Source organism: Homo sapiens, chromosome 5 (assembly GCF_000001405.40).
Source record: "Homo sapiens chromosome 5, GRCh38.p14 Primary Assembly".
Taxonomy (NCBI): Eukaryota; Metazoa; Chordata; class Mammalia; order Primates; family Hominidae; genus Homo; species Homo sapiens.
Genome location: NC_000005.10, coordinates 108,467,192 through 108,486,692, shown reverse-complemented (window position 1 = coordinate 108,486,692; position 19,501 = coordinate 108,467,192). Strand labels below are relative to the sequence as shown.

The following is a 19,501-nucleotide window of genomic DNA, read 5'->3' as shown; positions in this document are numbered from 1 at the left end:
CAGAATGACAATAAAAAAGGAGGCAGAAAAAGTATTCAATGCAGCCTTAAATTGGGAGATGTGGGTAACTATTTACTTGAAACTGAGATCAATTATCTCAGTAAAAAAATCTTCATTACATTATTATAATGCACCATTTTCACTCTCTAATAACTTTGTTCCTGTAACAGAAATTCATATTGTACTATACTATCTAAAGGAGATAGCTTAAAAATATGCCAAAAAGGGCAACCTTTCTCTGATTTTCTCACCAATTTCAAATGTTACATCCTTTTTCTTATAATAGTTCCCCATTATAACATGTGGTTTTACTTACACTAGACATGTTTAATATTTGCTTCAAGAGAGCTGAATGAAGGCTATTGTACAGCTACAATGTCTTCCTTGTAATGTTATAATCACATATTTGCAGGGAAATAAAAAATTCTAAATAAAAATGTTTAAAGGCATATGTAGTTTAAGAAAACATCTCTTTGTTTCTTCCCTCCCTCCCTCCCGCCCTCCCTCCTTCCTTCCTTTCTTTCTTTCTTTCTTTCTTTCTTTCTTTCTTTCTTTCTTTCTTTCTTTCTTTCCTTCTTTCTTTCTTTTTTTCTTTCTTTCTTTCATTCATTCACCAGGCACATTTCTTGCCAACACAATTCTCTTCTCATTGATTTCGCAGCATACAAACTGGTCTAAGTGAACATATAAAAATAGAAATTGCTTCAAGGCTGAATATAATCCTGATATAGCAGTCATACTTTGTTGTTTTTCTATATTAACTACTAACCCACAAAAAACTGACAACCTTCTAAGGTCTAGTATAGAATCTTGCATTTGTACCTTAGGCTGCCAGATCCATGTCCAAATGTGGCTGGAGAAACAGATGGGGATGGTGTCATGGTGTGAGAATCCTGGGTTCCTCTCTGGGGCAATGTCGTGATGTCTAAAATTAATGAGAAATAATATAATCAATGCATTTTGAGTACTTATTATGCCCAGACATTGTTCTAAGCTCGTTCCCCAAATCAACCTGTTTAATTTTTTTTAAAGCCCTATTAGGCAGGACTATTATTATTCCTACTTTAAATATGAGGCAACCATGGCTGAAATGTTAAGTAACTTGGCCACAATCACAAAGCTAGAAAGCAGAGCCTAAATTCAAAAGTATGTCCATCACATGAGAGCAATTTCATACCTCACCTGGGATTTCCCCATCTATTTATTAATTATGGTACCTGTCAACCAACTAGTAAGATTTGCTTTAAGACTAGAGCCGACATCATGATGTAGCATGAGCATTTCCCCTAATCAGCACTCTCCACTACTCCAGTTTTATGAAAAGGTTAAAGGACAGAAATGTAGAACTCCAAAATACAGCACCAGCAATCTGCATTTCACTTTCTGATCTTCAGGGATATGCCAGCAATTGATTTCATGGCCCACTCTTCATTATTAACAGAGGTATTCAATATGACTATTTACTATACTATATTTCAATGTGACTATTTACCTATACATGGGAAGGCATGTATAGGTACATAACTGCCCTTGAGATTTAGTTTGTGGTCATGCCTACTGAATTATTCAAGATTCTTTTGGTTGCAAAGGATATAACCCTATCCAATTAACTTAAACTAATCTAAAAAGTGAGGGGTTTATTGCTGGCCTCAAGTGAAGCTAGATCTAGGTGCTCAAACAATGTAGTTTGTATGTTCTTCACTTCCCAGCTTGGCTTTCCGCCATGTTGCCTTCATTCTTAGGCTAACCTCAAGTGGTGTCAAAATGTCTACCAGCAAGTCTAGGCTTAGCTACCACAAAAAACAAAAGACAGTTTTCTTTCCCAGTGGTTCCAGCAGAAAGTCTTAAAGTTATGTTCATGGCTGTAACTGCCCTGCTTAGGTCACAGGCCTACTCTTTAACTAGTCTTTATACTCAAGGCATACATTATACTCAACTGTCATGTACCAGTCACTGGCTCCAGAGCGTGGTTTAGCCCCAGTAGTATCATGGGCCTCAACTGAATCAGCGGAGGAGGGTCAATCCCCAAAGGAGTTGATTTTACCTCGATGTAAGGAAACAGATGCTAAGCAGGGGTAAACCACAGATGACCATTATATCCATTTTGGCATGCCAGAAGAAGAAGTTGCCACCTTGTCATGTGACTTTGAGGAGATTTGGGGAATCTCCATCACCATGACTTCCCTATGGTGAACTAATCTGTGGTGCGTCAAGGCAAGAGTAAGCCAAAGAATACTAACAAGGTCTCACTGAATCATATCAGTGCAGATTGTATAGACACAATAATAGCAGCAGAAAACTTAGAGGCTATGGCAATAAGAGATGATGTGGCTATTTGGGCAAAGACAACCTTTAACACAGAGGGTAGAGATATTGCTGCCAAACAACTTTGTCACACAACAATCCACAGACCGAATTCACATGGATAATGCTTATTGTGAAAGTAACTGCAAGTCACGCATGCATCAGCCTTTGTAGCCTTGCAAATACTCAGAAAGCAATACTGTCATCAGTAGTATCTTTAAATGCAAAGAATGCTGCATGAAGATAAGACATGAAAGAGCTCCAGCAGTCTCCTGCACACGTTGTTCTTATTTGATTCAATTTCTCATGCTGCATAGGTTTTCATTCATTGAAATTTGCAGTCACTCAGTTCAGACAGTTCTCTACTTATAAACACATTGTGTTAAGATACTTCATTTGTAAGTCAGTGCTTTTAAAATTGGAGCTCATTTTTACATTGAAAATTTATTATAAATTATAACTGGATTCTCAGACTAACCTATGAGTATTAATCAAGTAATTTGAATGTGCTTAGTACAATGCCTATCACATTGTAAACTCTTAATAGATTAAAGCTATTATTAGTTATATGATAAGCATGAACAAAATCATCAAAATAATTTTTTAAAATAAAAAATACAAATTAAGGTAATAGCACTTAGAAAAATGACAGATAGGAACACTCAGTAAGGTAATATGAAAAATTAAGTCCTCAATTCCACTTTGAAGAAGGTATTTAATATATTTCAGCTTAAAGATTGTTTATTGTTACTAAAGAAGAATTTACAAAATTATTCTACTATCTTTTAGAATATAATATTACTTAAATTATTATGTTTTAATTTTGGGATTCTATGTAGTTACAAAACTGAAATATTGCGAGTATAACTAGATCCATACAGATGGGAATAGTATTTAATAAATTGCTTTTTATTTACAAGAAATTTTCAGAACTTCTTTTTCCACATACTTATATCTGGATGCAATTCCACTTATAAATTGAGGACACAGTATACTGCTGTTACCATAAAAAGAACTGTAATGGGGACACAGCCATAATTGAATTTACATGTTAATTATTTACACTCTTCTCTGTGCAGCCTGAATATTCTATGCTTCAGAATTGTTTTGCAGGCAAAATATTATCCATGATTAGCAAGGCAAACAACTCTTTTGATACAGGTGACAAGTTCTTTTTGGTAACTTACTTCTCAGTAAAATATACTTTATTTAAGAATTAGTTCCACAAATCTATATAGAATAATCTGATGCTGATTTCAATGTGTTTTCAATTACATAAATGCTAAAGATATGTAATCTCTAACATTTATCTCGCCACTTTTGTTTCAGTGACAACTTTGGGGAGACTTTTAAAAATTAAGTGTCTGTTTAAGAAATAAAAGTATAGGATCATGGGTATCTGAGAAATTTAATGAGCTAGCATCAATAAGACCACTTAATCAGGGCTGGGCTGCTATTTTCCAAGTATCTGCCATACAGCATGTCAAAAGAGATGGTATAGACACATTAGGACTGAACTTTGCTTCATTCTTTCATTCATTCAACAACTTATTGAGTACCTACTCAATAAGTATCAGGCATTTTATTGAGTATTATTGAGTATCAGGCATTTTTTTTTTTTAGTTCTGGGGAGGTAAGAATAAACAATATGAATTCCAGTCCTCCATGGAATTTATGTACTTCTTGACAAAGACACACAATCAATTATTAGATACTTCTATTCTTCTGAGGGAGAAAAAAGCAGGGTGAGGATAAGGTTGGGAGAGGGGGCAGTGATCAGGGAAGGCCTCTCCAAAGAAGTGACACCTGAGAAGAGACTTTAATGAGGACACAAACTATGCAAAAATCAGAGAGACAATAGAGACGTGCAAAGGTCCCAGGTGGGACATGCTCATTGTGTTAAAAAAACATCAAGACCATGGTGGCTAGAACCAAGTAAGCAGAGAAGAGGGAGTATGGTAGAAGATGAGGTCAGGGAAGTGGAGAGGGCCAGATCCTATAGGGCCTTGCAGATCGTTTTATGGAGGTTGGGTTTACTTTAGTGGTGATGAGAAGGCATAGGCTGGGAATAGGAGAGTGACATGATATGCACTTTGGAGAAGAGGCTCTACAGAGGCAAGAAGTAGGACATTTCAGCAATTTAGGCAAGGGCCAATGTTATTACAATTTATTTATTTATTTATTTTTTTGAGATGGAGTCTTGCTCTGCTGCCCAGGCTGGAGTGCAGTGGTGTGATCTCAGCTCACTGCAACCTCTGCCTCGTGGGTTCAAGTGATTCTCCTGCCTCAGCCTCCCAGGTAGCTGGGACTACAGGTGCGTGCCACCACACCTGGCTACTTTTTGTATTTTCAGTAGAGAAGAGGTTTCACCATGTTGGTCAGGATGGTCTCAAACTCCTGACCTTGTGATCCGCCCACCTTAGCCCCCAAAGTGCTGGGATTATAGGCGTGAGCCACTGCGCCCGGCCATGTTATTGCAATTTTGTAACATTGACTCTTTACTACCTAATTTTCAGGATGAAAAACAAAAATTGTTTTTGTGCAAATGGTATGTCAGGAAGACAAAAATCAGCTGTTTAATTTTTGTGGGGTGGTACAAAGGCAGCTGGAATAAAATGCCTGTTTTTATATTGACTGTAGGGAAAGTGCTTACCTCAACTGCCAATTTACGGAGGATCTCTGTGGATGGTAAATCAGAGAAGAGTGTGAAAGGTAAGAATATCTTGAAACACATCTACCACCTTGTCTCCCGTCCCCTCCGCCTGTTGACAGCCTGACTCAGGTGCCGTTATGAATTAAAAAGCAGGAGATGAACTGCAAGCACTGAACATCTTCCAAAGTAAAATGCTGCCATCTGGAGGCTTCTAGAGTACAAAAATGAGGAAAAAAAAAATCTACCCCCACAAACACTCTGTTTCTGTTTGATGTTTCTATACGCAAAGGATTTTGTTTGGAAAAAAATTTAAAAGGTCATTAATTCGAAAGAAACAAGAATGAAATTGCCCAGTCTCACTCCCTTGCTTTGCCTGGCCCAATCTATTAAGTGGAACCTGTTTATGTTGGTTTTGAAACCTATTTAGTAGGCTGTAAATTTACTGTAGGTTGAAAGTTTGTATTCATTTCTTTTCCCTCTATAGCAAATAAGACTAGGCCTGGTCCCTCTGCAAATGGTCTATCTTCTCCATTTCTTCCATGATTACTGATCTATTCAGGTTTTCTATTTATTCCATTTTGATAATTTATATTTTTCTAGGAAAGCATCCATTTCTTCCAGATTTTTTAATATATTGTCATAGAGTTGCAAATAATATACTTCTATAAAATTTTTATTCTCTTATCTACCCACAGTTCCATATAATTTTTATCTTTAATATTATATCCTTTTACTTTCCTCTTTTATTGTAGGATTATGAGCAGGAGAATGACATATTTGGACTATGTCCCAGAGAGACAACACTGATGATAATGAATATAATCGGCTGAAAGAGAACACCAGAACACTGTTTAGAAGGCAACTATAACATCTCAAATTAGTGACGACTGACATCTGAACCATGGAGAAGATTTTCTAAAATAAAACTAGTAGGAATTTGTGACTACTGATGTGTTTATAAGACAAATATAAAAGGTTAGCATGATGCTACAGTTTCTTACCTAGGACGATTGGATAATCATAACCAAAGGGGAGAGAAAAATAATTTTTTGAGGGGACATTTGACTTTGAGGTGTTAGAAGGATAATCATATGTAAATGTCCCATCAGTCTGGAGTTAGAAATACAAGTCAAAGCTAGAAGTGGCAGATAAAGTTGTGAGATCGGTTGGAAAAAAAATGTAGAGCAAAAAAAAAATTTGTATTAAGATGTCAATAACTGAAATGTTTTTGTAAAGTCTTAGATTTTGGGGCAGCTGAACAAAATCTGGGTGCATATTACAGAAGCCAAAGGAGAAGAAAATTTTAAGAAGGAGAAGGTTTAGGAAAATCATAGCACAAAACAAGTAATACATTAAAATGATGATGATTTATGCAACAGAAAGAATAATTTTTATATGAAACAAAGTAACATAAATTGGAAAAATATTTCCAATACATCTGACAGTCATAGAACTAATTTCCTCAATATATGAGCATTTAAAAGTCAATAAAACCCTAAAGGAAAATTTGATAAACTTCATTTTATCAAAAATTAAAACTTTTGCTCTGTGAAAGCCCTGTTAAGAAGATGAAAGAACAGTGTTCAGACTAGAGAAAACAGTTGCAAACCACATACCCAACAAGGAATTTTATCTAGAATATAAAGAACTCTCAAATCACAAAAGCAAAATAAACAAATGATCCAATTAGAAAATGGGCAAAAGATATGAAGAGACATTTTACCAAGAATGAAATAGGAATAACAAATAAGCACATGAAAACAAGTTCAACAACATTAGCTATTAGGAAAATGCAAATTAAAACCACAATGATAGATCATTACACATCTATCAGAATGGCTAAAATAAAAAAAGGTGATAATACCAAATACTGGGTAAGATGAGGAGAAACTTTATCACTCATACACTACTGGTAGAATGTAAAATGGTACAACCACTCTGGAAAATAACTTAGCAGTTTCTCTTAAAAGTAAACATGCATTTGCCATATGACCCAGCTGTCACACTCTTTGGCATTCATCTGACATGAAAATTTATGTTCACACAAAAACCTGTTCATGAATGTTCACAGCAGTTTTATTTGCAGCTGCCGAGATTGAAAACAACCCAATATCCTTCAATGGGTGAATAGTTAAACTCTGATACATTCATACAATGGAATACCACTCAGCAATAAAAAGAATAAACTTGTATAATAAACAACCTGGATAGATCTCCAGGCTATTTTGCTTAGTGAAAATGCCAACCTCAAATGGTTAAATACTGTAAGGTTAAATTTATATACCATTCTCCAAATGATACAACTATAGAGATAGAGAAAAGATCAGTGGATGCTAGCTGACAGGGATGGGATGGATACTAATATAAAGTAGCATGAGTCTCCAATGTCCATTATCCCACTCTTTATGCCTTTGCATACCCATAGCTTAGCTCCCACTTATAAGAAATACTGTATTTAGTTTTCTATCCCCGAGTTACTTCACTTAGAATAATGGCCTCTAGCTCCATCCAAACTGTTGCAAAGGACATTATTTCATTCTTTTTTATGGTTAAGTAGTATTCCATGGTTTATATATACCACATTTTCTTTATCCACTCATCAGTTGATGGGCACTTAGGCTGGTTCCATATTATTACAACTATGAATTGTGCTGTGACAAACAGACACAGGCATGTGTCTTTTTAATATAGCAACTTCTTTCTCTGTGGGTAGATACCCAACAGTGGGATTGATGGATTAAATGGTAGATCTACTTTTAGTTCTTTGAAAAATCTCCACACTGTTTACCATAGAGATTGTACTAATTTACATTTCCATCAGCAGTGTATAAGTATTCCCTTTTCACCACATCCATACCAATATCTGTTGTTTTTTGATTTTTTAATAATGGTCATTCTGGCTGGGGTAAGGAGGCATCTCATTGTGGCTTTAATTTGCATTTCCTTGGTGATATGTGATGTTGAGTATTTTCCTTCACATGTTTATTGGCCATTTGGATGTCTTCTTTTGAGAAATGTCTATTCATGTCATTTACTCACATTTTGATGAATTATTTGTGTTTTTCCTTGCTGATTTGTTTGAGTTCCTTATAGATTCTGGATGTTAGTCCTTTGTTGAAAGCATACTTTGCAAATATTTTGTCCCATTCTGTGGGGTGTGTGTTTACTCTGATGATTATTTCTTTTGTTGTGCAGAAGGTTTTTTCATTTAATTAGGTCCCATTTATTGATTTTTATTTTTATTGCATTTGCTTTTGGGATATTAGTTATAATTTCTTTGCCTAGGCCAATATCCAGAAGAGTTTTTCCTAGGTTTTCTTCTAGAATTTTTATGGTTTCAGGTCTTAAGATTTAAATCTTAATCCATTTTGAATTAATTTTTGGTATGGTGAGAGACAGCAATCCAGTTTCATTCTTCTACATGTCGCTATCCAGTTTTCCCAGCACCATTTACTGAATAGGGTGTCCTTTCCCCAACTTATGTTTCTGTATGCTTTGTCAAAGATCAATTGGTTTTAAGTATTTGGCTTTCTTTCTAGGTTCTCTATTCTGTTCTGATCTATGTAACTATTTTTATTTTTATTTATTTACTTATTTATATTTATTTTTTTGAGACGGAGTCTCGCTCTGTCACCAGGCTGGAGTGCTGTGGCGTGATCTTGGCTCACTGCAACCTCTGACTCCCTGGTTCAAGGGATTCTCCTGCCTCAGCTTCCTGAGTAGCTGGTATTACAGAGCTGGGATTATTGGCACATGCCACCATGCCCAGCTAATTTTTGTATTTTAGTAGAGATGGAGTTTCACTATGTTAGTCAGGATGGTCTCGATCTCCTGACCTCATGATCCGCCCACCTCGGCCTCCCAAAGTGCTGGGATTACAGGTGTGAGCCACTGCACCCGGCCCTATGTAACTACTTTTATACCAGTATCATGCTGTTTTGGTTACTATAGCCTTATAGTATGAAGTCAGGTAATGTGATGCCTCCAGATTTGTCCTTTTTGCTTAAGATGACTTTGGATATTCAGGCTCTTTTGTGTTTCTATATGAATTTTAGGATTTTTTTCTAATTGTTTGAAAAATGATGTTGGTATTTTGATACGAATTGCATTGAATCTGTAGATTGCTTTGGGCAGTATGATCATTTTCATGAAATTGATTCTTTCAATCCATGAGCACACGATGTATTTCCATTTGTTTGTATCATCTATGATTTCTTTCAGTAGCGTTTTGTACTTCTCCTTGTAGAGATCTTTCATCTCCTTGTTTAATTATGTTCCTAGGTATTTTGTTTTTTTATTGCTGTTGTAAAAGGGATTGAGTTCTTTATTTGATTCTCAGCTTGGTTGTTGGTGGTGTATAGCAGTACTGCTAATTTGTGTGCATTGATTTTGTAACTTAAGACTTTAATGAATTCATTTATCAAATATAGCAGCCTTTTGGAGGAGACTTTAGGGTTTTCTAGGTATACGATCATAACATTGGCAAACAGAGATGGTTTGACTTCTCGTTTTCCAATTTGGATGCCCTTTATTTCTTTCTCTTGCCTAACTGCTCTGGCTAGGACTTCCAGATTATGTTGAATACAAGTGGTGAAAGTGGGCATCATTGTGTTGTTCCAGTTCTTAGAGGGGATGCTTTTAGCTTTTCCCTATTCAGTATGATGTTGGCTGTGAGTTTGTCATAGATGGCTTTCATTATTTTGAGGTATATTCCTTCTATACCTAGTTTGTTGAGGGTTTTTATCATAAAGTAATGCTGAATTTCACTGAATGTTTTTCTCCATCTGTTGAGATGATCATGTGGGTTTTGTTTTTAATTCTGTTTATGCGATGAATTACATTTATTGACTTGCATATGTTGAACCATCCCTGCATCCCTGGGGCGAAACCCACTTGATCATGGTGAATTACTATTATTATTATTGTTGTTAGTTGTTGAGAAAGGGTCTTGCTCTGTCACCTAGGCTGGAGTACAGTGGCACAATCATGGATCACTGCAGCCTTGACCTCTTGGGCTCAAGCAATCTTCCCACCTCAGCCTCCTGAGTAACTGGGACTGTAGGTGAGCACCACCACATGCATCTAATTTTTATATTTTTTTTTGTAGAGATGGGGTTTCACCATGTTGCTCAGGCTAGTTTTGAACTCCTGAGCTCAAGCAATCCTCCTGCCTTGGCCTTCCAAAGTGCTGGGGTTACAGGTGTGAGCCACTGCACCTGACTTGAATTATCTTTTTGATGTGCTGTTTGATTTGGCTTGCTAGTATTTTGTTGAGGATTTTTGCATCTATGTTCATCAGGAACATCGGTCTGTAGTTTTCCTTTTCTTTGTTATGTACTTTCCTGGCTTTGGTATCTGGGTGATACTGGTTTGATAGAATGTGTTAGGGAGGATTCCCTCTTTCTCAACCTTTTGGAATAGTTTCAGTAGGATTAGTACCAATTCTTCTTTGGTAGAATTCACTGTGAATCCATTTGCACTGGGCTTGTTTTGTTGCTGGAAATTGTTTTATTACCGATTCAATCTCACTGTTTGCTATTGGTCTGTTCAGGATTTCTATTTCTTCCTGATTCAAGCTAGGAGGGTTGTATGTTTCCAGGAATTTATCCATTTCCTCTAGATTTTTTAGTTTGTGTGCATAGAAGTATTTATAGCAGCCTCAAATCTTCTGTATTTCTTTTGATCTTTTGTACTTCTGTGGTGTCATTGTAATGTCTCCATTTTCATTTCTAACGGCTTGTTTAAATCTTCTCTCTTCTTGATTAATCTAGCTAATGGTCTATTGATTTTTTTTATCTTTTCAAAGAACCAACTTTTTGTTTCATTGATCTTTTATATTGTTTTTATGTTTAATTGCATTTAGTTTTTCTCTGTTCTTTGTTATTTGTTTCTACTAGCTTTGGGTTTGGTTTGTTCTTATTTCTCTAGTTCCTTGAGGTGTGTGTTAGGTGGTCAATTTGTGACTTTGCAGACTTTTTGATCTAGGCATTTAGCACTATAAATTTTCCTCTTACATTGCTTTTGCTGTTTCCCAGAGGTTTTGATAACTTATGGCACTATTATTCATTTCAAAGAATTTTTAAATTTTCATCTTGATCTCATTGTTAACCCCAAAATCATTCCGGAGCAGATTAATTTCCATGTATTTGTATTGTTTTGACTATTCCTTTTGGAGTTGGTTTCTAGTTTTATTCCACTGTGTTCTGAGAATATACTTGATATAATTTGGATTTTTAAAAATTTATTGACTTTATTTTGAGACCTATGATATGTCTATCTTGCAGACTGTTTCATGTACTAATGAGAACGTATATTTTGCAGTTCTTGGGTAGAATGTTCTGTAAATATCATTAGGTCCATTTGTTCTAGAGTGCAGTTTAAGTGCAATGTTTCTTTATTGACTTTCTGCCTTGATGATCTCTGTTTAGTGCTGTCAGTGGAGTGTTGAAGTCCCCCACTATTATTGTGTTGCTGTCTATCTCTTTTCTTAGGTCTAGTAGTAATTGTTTTATGAATCTGGGAATGCCAGAGTTAAATGCATACATATTTAGGACTGTAATATCTTCTTGTTGGATTTATACTTTTATCATTACATAGTGACTTTGTCTTTTTTTACTGTTGTTGCTTTAAACTCTGTTTTATCTGGTATAAGAATAGTATATGCCTTCTCACTTTTGGTTTCCATTTGCATAGACTATCTTTTTTTTTAACTCCTTTACCTTGAGTCGATAAGAATCCTTATATGTTAGATGAGTCTCTTGAAGATGGCAGATATTTGGTTTGTGACTTTTTAATCTGTTCTGCCAATTTGTATCTTTTGAGTGGAGCATTTAGACCATATATATTCAATGTTTAATATTGAGATGTGAGGTACTGTTCCAGTCATCATGTTGTTACCTAGACACTCTGTTTTTTCATTATTATTGTTTTACAGGCCCTGTGAGTCTTTATGCTTTCAAGAGGTTCTATTATGGTGCATATCCAGCTTTTGTTTCAAGATTTAGAACTCCTTTCAGCATTTTTTTGTAGGGATAATCTGGTAGTGACAAATTCCCTCAGAATTTTTCTTGTCTGAAAAAGACTTTATTTCTTCTTCATTTATGAAACATAGTTTTTCTGGATACAAAATTCTTGGCTGACAGTTACTCCATTTAAGGAGGCTAAAGATAGGACCCCAGTGCCTTCTGGCTTGTAAGGTTTCTGCTGAGAAGTCTGCTGTTAGTCTGATAGGTTTTCCCTTATAGGTTACTTGAAACTTTTGTCTAACTGCTCTTAGGATTCTTTTCTGCATGTTAAGTTTACATAGCCTGATGACTCTATATGCCTTGGTGAAGTCCTTTTTCCAGTGAATCTTTCAGGCGTTCTTTGAGCTTCTTATATTTGGGTGTCTAAATCTCTAGCAAGGCCAGGGAAGCTTTCCTCAATTATTCCCTCAAATAAGTTGCCCAAACATTTTGTTTTGTCTTCATCCTCAGGAACACCAGTGATTCTTAGGTTTGGCCATTTTATATAATTACATATTTCTTGGAGATTTAGTTAACTTCTTTTGAGTTTTTTTTTCTTTATTTTTTTCTGATTGGGTGAGTTCAAAAGGCTCATCTTCAAGCTTTGAAATTCTTTCTTCTAGTTGTTCGAATCTATTGTTAAAACTTTCCCACTGCATTTTGTAATTCCCTAAAATGGGTCTTTCATTTCCAGATGTTCTAATTGGTTTTCCTTTAAAATATCTAACTCTTTAGAAAATTTTTCATTCACATCCTGAATTATTTTAAAAAGTTTTTATGTTAGTTTTCACCTTTCTCTTGTATCTCCTCCAGTAATTTAATAAGTAACCTTTTGAATTATTTATCGGGTATTTCAAAGAATTTCATCTTGGTTGGGATCCATTGCTAGAAAGCTACAGTGATCTTTGTAGTGGAGGGGGGCCAGTTATAGAACCCTGTTTTGTCATATTACCAGAATTATTTTTTTCTGATTCCTCCTCATTTGGATAGAGTATTTCTTCTAATTATTTTAGAATTTCTTTTTTATTCAACTGTGTTTATTTTTAAATTTCTTTTTCTTTTTTCCCCTTAAGGATGTGACTTTAATGATTATAGTTTATTGTAACCTAATTCAGCTCTGGGTGCTTTCAAGGGTGAAGACTCTGCATGAGTTTCCTGTTTATAGAGAGTCTTTATGATGGCTTTATCAAATGTTGGTTGTAGTAACAATATGCTCAGTGTGTGAGCAGATTCGCTGTCTCCTGTGGGGTAGAATGGCAGAGATCTCTTGAAGTTTATCTCATTCCTCAGTGTGTGCAGTTATTTATTTATTATTTTTCCCCCAGTAGTTTATTTACTGGGTTAAACAGTTCAGGATTCAGGCCAGTAGAAATGGGGTCCATGGGTATGAATCAGCTGTGGCTAAAGCAAGTGGGTAAATGCAATACCCAATGGTGGGCTGAGGTCCCAGTCTTGACAGAGATGGCTGAGGGAGCTCTCAGTGAAACACACTGAGGTGTTTTCACAAGGGAGGTAGCCACCTCAGCTCTCCTGCAGGCCAGCAGGAAAGCAGTCTGCCTCCCAGTCACACTCCTGACCCAGTGTTCCAGCTATTTAGATCAGACAGGCACCTCTCTACATCTGTAGGAATGCTGATGTTCCATGTAGAGAGGGATCGTGACTCTATCACTTGTGGAAGCCTGAACTGAAGAGCAGTCCTCCTGTGCGGATGCAGTCACCCTTAAGTGCTCCAGAAAGTCTGTCTACAAGTGCACCCACACCATGCTCCCACGGGAGAAGCCCCAGCTGTGTCCGCAGTGGTGGGCAAGGGTAAGAAGTTTCTTCTCCAAGACCCTTCATTAGCACCAGGGCTGCCTAACTGTTGGGGTAGAGCTGCAGACTTTCCCCACTGAGCCCAGTACCGCACCTGTGCCTCCGCTGAAAGAAACTTCCCACAAGCAGAAAGTTCTGGGACTCAATTCCAGTCATCTGGATTCTTTTGTCCCATGGAGTGCTCCCTTGGTGTGGTATACTCCCGCTTCTGGAATAGGAGTCCCTGAGGCCCAATTCTGCTGTTCCTTTGGGTCTAGCCACCCAGTGGGACCACAATAATCCACACTGGTGCCGGGAAATGTCTGCAAAGGATCCAGACGTGTGAACTCTCCTCAAGTCTCCTAGCAGCAGGTACCAGCACCAGCTCTGATAGGGACAGCAGGGGAGTGATATAGACTCTGTGAGATTCCTTGGTTATAAATAACCTTACAGTGTTGGCTCTCAAATTCCAGCTATAGTAGTAATGAACTGGTCATGTGACAGACTTAGGACCTTCTGGTTATCTAGCCAGGGTGATTCAGGCAATGGTGATAGCTGAGGTCACATACAAGGTTTCTCCTTCCTGGGCACTGTGGTCTTCTGCAGTTTTCCACGTGGCTCATGGTGTAGGCTGTAGTCTGTCACTTCATTCAAAGGATCTGTGGTTTCTTTCAGTTTTCTTGTTAAGTTTGTGTGTTGCTTCTTGGAATAAAGTTCACACTGTGAATCTCTATATACTATTTTGTCTTTCTAAGTGGGACAGGCATGCTAACAATGCCTCCAATCCACCATCTTGAGGGGAAAAAAAGGGAAGTCTTTACCACCAAATTGAGTAGACTATTCTCCTTCCCTCTCCAACTTATGTTACTAGGAGGTAATCAGAATGCCCCTAGAGAGATTCCTAGATCCTATACAGGTGAAAGCTGACTCTTCTCTCTACTGATGGAAGGAAGAATAAAGGAAATGCCTGGTATAAGGAAACACCCCTTTCCTCTGCTTCAGTTGTTCTCCTCTATCCAGAGTGGCCTGGAGTGGCAGCCTAAAGAAGCTCCAGTCCACTGGGCTGAGCTCAGCAGAAATGGAGAGAGAAACTACTAGTAGCCATGGCCCCCGTGTACCCCCTCATCCATCCCAGCCTCCCAGGAATTGAAAAAGGGTGGGTGTGAGGTTCTTCTGCTGTGCATGAAGGGAAAGAGACAGATCTGGAGAAGGGGCCACAAGTCTCAGATGATAGTAAAGACCATCACAGAGACAGGATTCTGGCAGATCTAGGGGAGGCAGGGTCCCCAGGGATATCCCAAGGCCCTGTGGTACCTGATTTCAAAGCAGGAAGGCCCATAATGCTCTGTACTTCTCCTTCCCTTGCAGCAGGTACAGCCCAGCATTCAGAACGAATAATACTGCCTCAGCCGAGTATATTTGAACCCTATAGGGATGGGAGGATGAGTGCAACTCTGGAAGAGAAAGAAGGATCCCCAGGAACTCTGGGATCCTGATGGGAGAAAAAAGAACTTCATGGGAAAGGGATTTTCCCCTGAGCTCTTTACATACCTTGCTCCTTTCTCTCAGGCCACAGCTCATAGGTCACCTCCTCACTGGGGCCCTCTATACTCCCTGATGAGAACACCCTCCTCCAATTCTTCCAGAATCCTGGCTATTGCCTTCTTTGGGTTCTGATCCCAAATTATCTTGTATATTTATTTCCTTTACTTATTTATTGTCTCTCTCTCTCTGAGGTGATACATATGTTCCATGAGAACAAGGACCTTATCTGCCTTGTTCCCTGCTGTCTTAGCTTGGTTTACCCCAAAACAGATGCAGATTTGATTTTTTGAGAGGTAATCCTAGAAGTGAGACAAGAAGGAAGGAAAGCAAAGACAGTGTTGATGAGCAGATTACCACTGGGGGCGAACTAGGCCTCAATCCTTCTGGAGATCCTCTCAGAAATTATGGGAGATGCTTCAGAATTGTCCTATTGAGGGATAAGGAAGCTGGGGTATATCCAACATCTCCCATCCTCATTGGTTGAAGATCAACCTTATTCATTTCTGGTTGAGGATCCTTTCAGAGGTGTTAATGCACACACAGGCCTAGAGAACACCCTCAGCAGAGACACCTGAGAATCCATTGGCATGAAAAGGGACCATGTGCGGGAAATCTCTAGAGAAGGCTGAATGGATACGGACCAGGCAAGAACAAGTTATTCCTGTCATAACCTCAGCACCAAGATCAAGCTCTGGAATATGGTACATGCTCCATAAACACGAGCCAAACAAAAAGGAAGATTGAGAAATGAATGAGTAAAAGAAAGGCTGAATGGGAGTCTAGTAATTCTATTACCTGAGAGGACTGGTTTTTCTTTCTTGGTGTTGGCCTTAATTTTGACGGAAGTTTTTGACTTTTACATCCTCCCTGTATGTATACTGGGAAGGGTCCATCCTAGTTTTCCTGGCAAATACTCCTCTTCCTCTTCACCTCTGCAACTGCTGCTTCATATTCCTCCTTCATCAGCGAAAGGTGTTTCCTTGTGCTCACCCGCCTCTGAAAAAAATCACTTTCAGATTGACTTCATTCCTACTCATTTTTCAGTGAGAAAAACATTGCCAGATTTCTTGGAAATAAATATCGCATTACTTACTGATCCAGTTTTTTTCTGGTATGTAAGCTATTGCCTGTAAATTAGCTGGCCTACTTTTTAGAAGTTGCATTAATTCTTTCGGGATGATGAGTGCCCTTTAGTGCACAAACAGCAATAGAAGTTAAATTTACAGCATGGCTGACTGGAACCATTACTCTAGATTAATGCATTCTAGGGACCACTTTCTTCTTTCCTCCTTTTTATATAGTTTTCATCTGAGTTATGGATAGGACATCTTGTCCTAAGCAAATAAGTATTATATATTTGGGACATTTAAATTCTTGATTAATAATACTAAAAATCTTTTAACCTTAAATGAATATTGCCGGTGTGCACATTCTTTTTGTTTGTCACCCAGAGCTCTTGGTTCACATAAGCTTGGCTTAATTTTATTACATTGCAAATACTCGGTGAGAATGAACTTTAGCCATGAAAAAAAATAATAACCCAAATATTGAAGGTGAGGCCTGGTGGGAGGTGATTAGATAATGGGGGTGTATTCTACCGGTTTAGCACCATCCCCTTGAAAGATCTGATGGTTTGGAAGTATGTAGCACCTCCTCCTTTGCCCTCTCTTCTTCCTGCTCTGGCCATGTGATGACATGCCTTGCTTCCCCTTTGCCTTCCACCCTCATAGTAAGTTTCCTGAGGCCTCATCAGCCATGCAGAACTTTGAGCCAATTAAATCTATTTTCTTCATAAATTACCCAGTCTCAGGTAGTTCTTTATAGCAATGTAGGAATAGACTAATACAACTATTAAATAAACTTGTTTCTATTTAAGGGTCCTGGGATGGCTAATTTTATGTGTCAAATGGCTAGGCCATGGTACCCCAGTTTTTGGTCAAACAGCAGTATAGATGTTGCTGGGAAGGTATTTTTTAGATGTGATTAACATTTAAAACTATAGATTTTGAGTAAAGCAGATTAGTGTTCAAAACGTGGTTTGGTCTTATTCAATCAGTCAAAGGCCTTAAGAGAAAGCTAAGGTTTCCCAAAAAAGAAGGAATTCTGCCACCACATAGTCTTCAGATTTGAGACTGCAACATCAACTCTTCCCTGAGTCTCAAGCCAACTTGACTGCCCCTAAGATTTCAGACTTATCAACCTCCAAACTGGTGTGAGCCATATCCTTAAAATAAATCTGTGTGTGTGTGCCTGTGTGTGTGTGTAGGCATATTTTGCTTTATTGCATTTTGCAGATATTGTGTTCTTTCACAAATTGAAGGTTTGTGGCACCCCTGCACTGAGCAAGTCTATCAGTGCTATTTTTCCAATTGGATTGACTCAGATTTTGAAAGAAGTTCAGCTGTGGCTAAGATGCTATCAAACAGCATTGCAGACTACAGAGAAATCTCTCATAAAAGGAAAAGTGGGCCAGACGCGGTGTGGGCTAGACAAGGCGGTGGCTCACGCCTGTAATCCCAGCACTTTGGGAGGCTGGAGCGGGCAGATCACAAGGTCAGGAGATCGAGATCATCCTGGATAACACAGTGAAACCCCATCTCTACTAAAAATACAAAAAATTAGCTGGGCATGGTGGTGCACGCCTGTAGTCCCAGCTACTCGGGAGGCTGAGGCAGGAGAATTGCTTGAACCTGGGAGGTGGAGGTTGCAGTGAGCCGAGATGGTGCCACTGCACTCCAGCCTGGGCGACAGAGTGAGACTCTGTCTCAAAAAAAAAGGAAAAGTGAATTGACACAGCAGACTTCACTGTGGTCTTATTTTAAGAAATTACCAGCTGGGCACGGTGGCTAATGCCTGTAATCCCAGTACTTTGGGAGGCTGTGGCGGGCCGATCACGAGCTCAGGAGTTCGAGACCAGCCTGGCCAACATAGTGAAACCCTGTCTCTACTAAAAATACAAAAAATTAGTCAGGCATGGTGGCATGCCTGTAATCCCAGCTACTTGGGAGGCTGAGGCAGGAGAACCGCTTGAACCTGGGAGGCGGAGGTTGCAGTGAGCCGAGATTGCACCATTGCACTCCAGCCTGGGTGACAGTGTGAGACTCTGACTCAAAAAACAAAAAAAAAAAAAAAAAAAAAAAAGAAAGAAAGAAAAGAAATTACCATAGCTACACCAACCTTTAGCAACTACTGCCTTGATTAGTCAACAGCCATCAACACTGAGGCAAGACCCTCTACCAGCAAAAAGATTACAACTCACCAAAGGCTCAGATGATTGTTAGCATTTTTAGCAACAAAGTATTTTTAATTAAAGTATATAGATTATGTTTTTAAACATAATGCTACTGCACATTTAATAGACCAGTACAGTATAAATATAACTTTTATATGCACTGGGGAACCAAAAAAATTTTTGTGACTCGCTTTATTGCAGTGATTTGGAATAGAACCCGTGACATCTCTGAAGTATGCCTGTGAGTGTATACACACACACACAAAGTTGAGCATCACTAATCCAAAATCTGAAAAGCTCCAAAGTCCAAAACTCTTTGATTGCCAACATGATGCCACATATAGAAAATTCCAAATATAACCTCAGGATGGGTCACAGTCAAAACACAGGCCCACACCACCGTTTATACAGCATCTCCAAGGAAAAAAGATCCTTTCAGCCCCATTCTTCATTAAATGGAACCAGATGTCTGACTCCTTACATACGCAAAAAATGTATATCTCATAGTCCATCAGTAAACTGAATGAAGTGGATATTGAAGAAGTTTTTGACATTGATAATGATGCTCCAGGCCGGGCATGGTGGCTCATGTCTGTAATCTCAGCACCTTGGGAGGCTGAGGTGGGTGGATCACGTGAGGTCAGGAGTTCAAGACCAGCCTGACCAACATGGTGAAACCCTATCTCTACTAAATACAAAAAATTAGCCAGGAGTGGTGGGGCATACCTGTAATTCCAGCCACCTGGGAGGCCGAGGCAGGAGAATCATTTGAATCTGGGAGGCGGAGGCTGCAGTAGGCTGAGATCACGCCACTGCACTCCAGCCTGGACGACAAGAGCGAAACTCCGTCTAAAAAAAAAAAAGTAAGAAAATGAAGCTCCAGTTGTTTGTTCTTCGACTGATGGTGAAATAGAAATGGTTCTGAATCAAGGTGATCGTGATAACACTGATAATGACGATGACATTTGTTAA

General features: G+C 38.3%; 1 long non-coding RNA gene across 1 annotated transcript; it reads right to left on the bottom strand.

The window, feature by feature from the left end:
• Positions 1 to 608: 608 nt before the first annotated feature.
• Positions 609 to 19,291, bottom strand: LOC105379114 (uncharacterized). Its single transcript, XR_948654.2, has 4 exons — positions 19,256 to 19,291; positions 16,093 to 16,293; positions 823 to 925; positions 609 to 674 (listed from the first exon to the last, which is right to left on the bottom strand). It is a non-coding gene; the product is annotated as an uncharacterized LOC105379114 (long non-coding RNA).
• Positions 19,292 to 19,501: the final 210 nt, after the last annotated feature.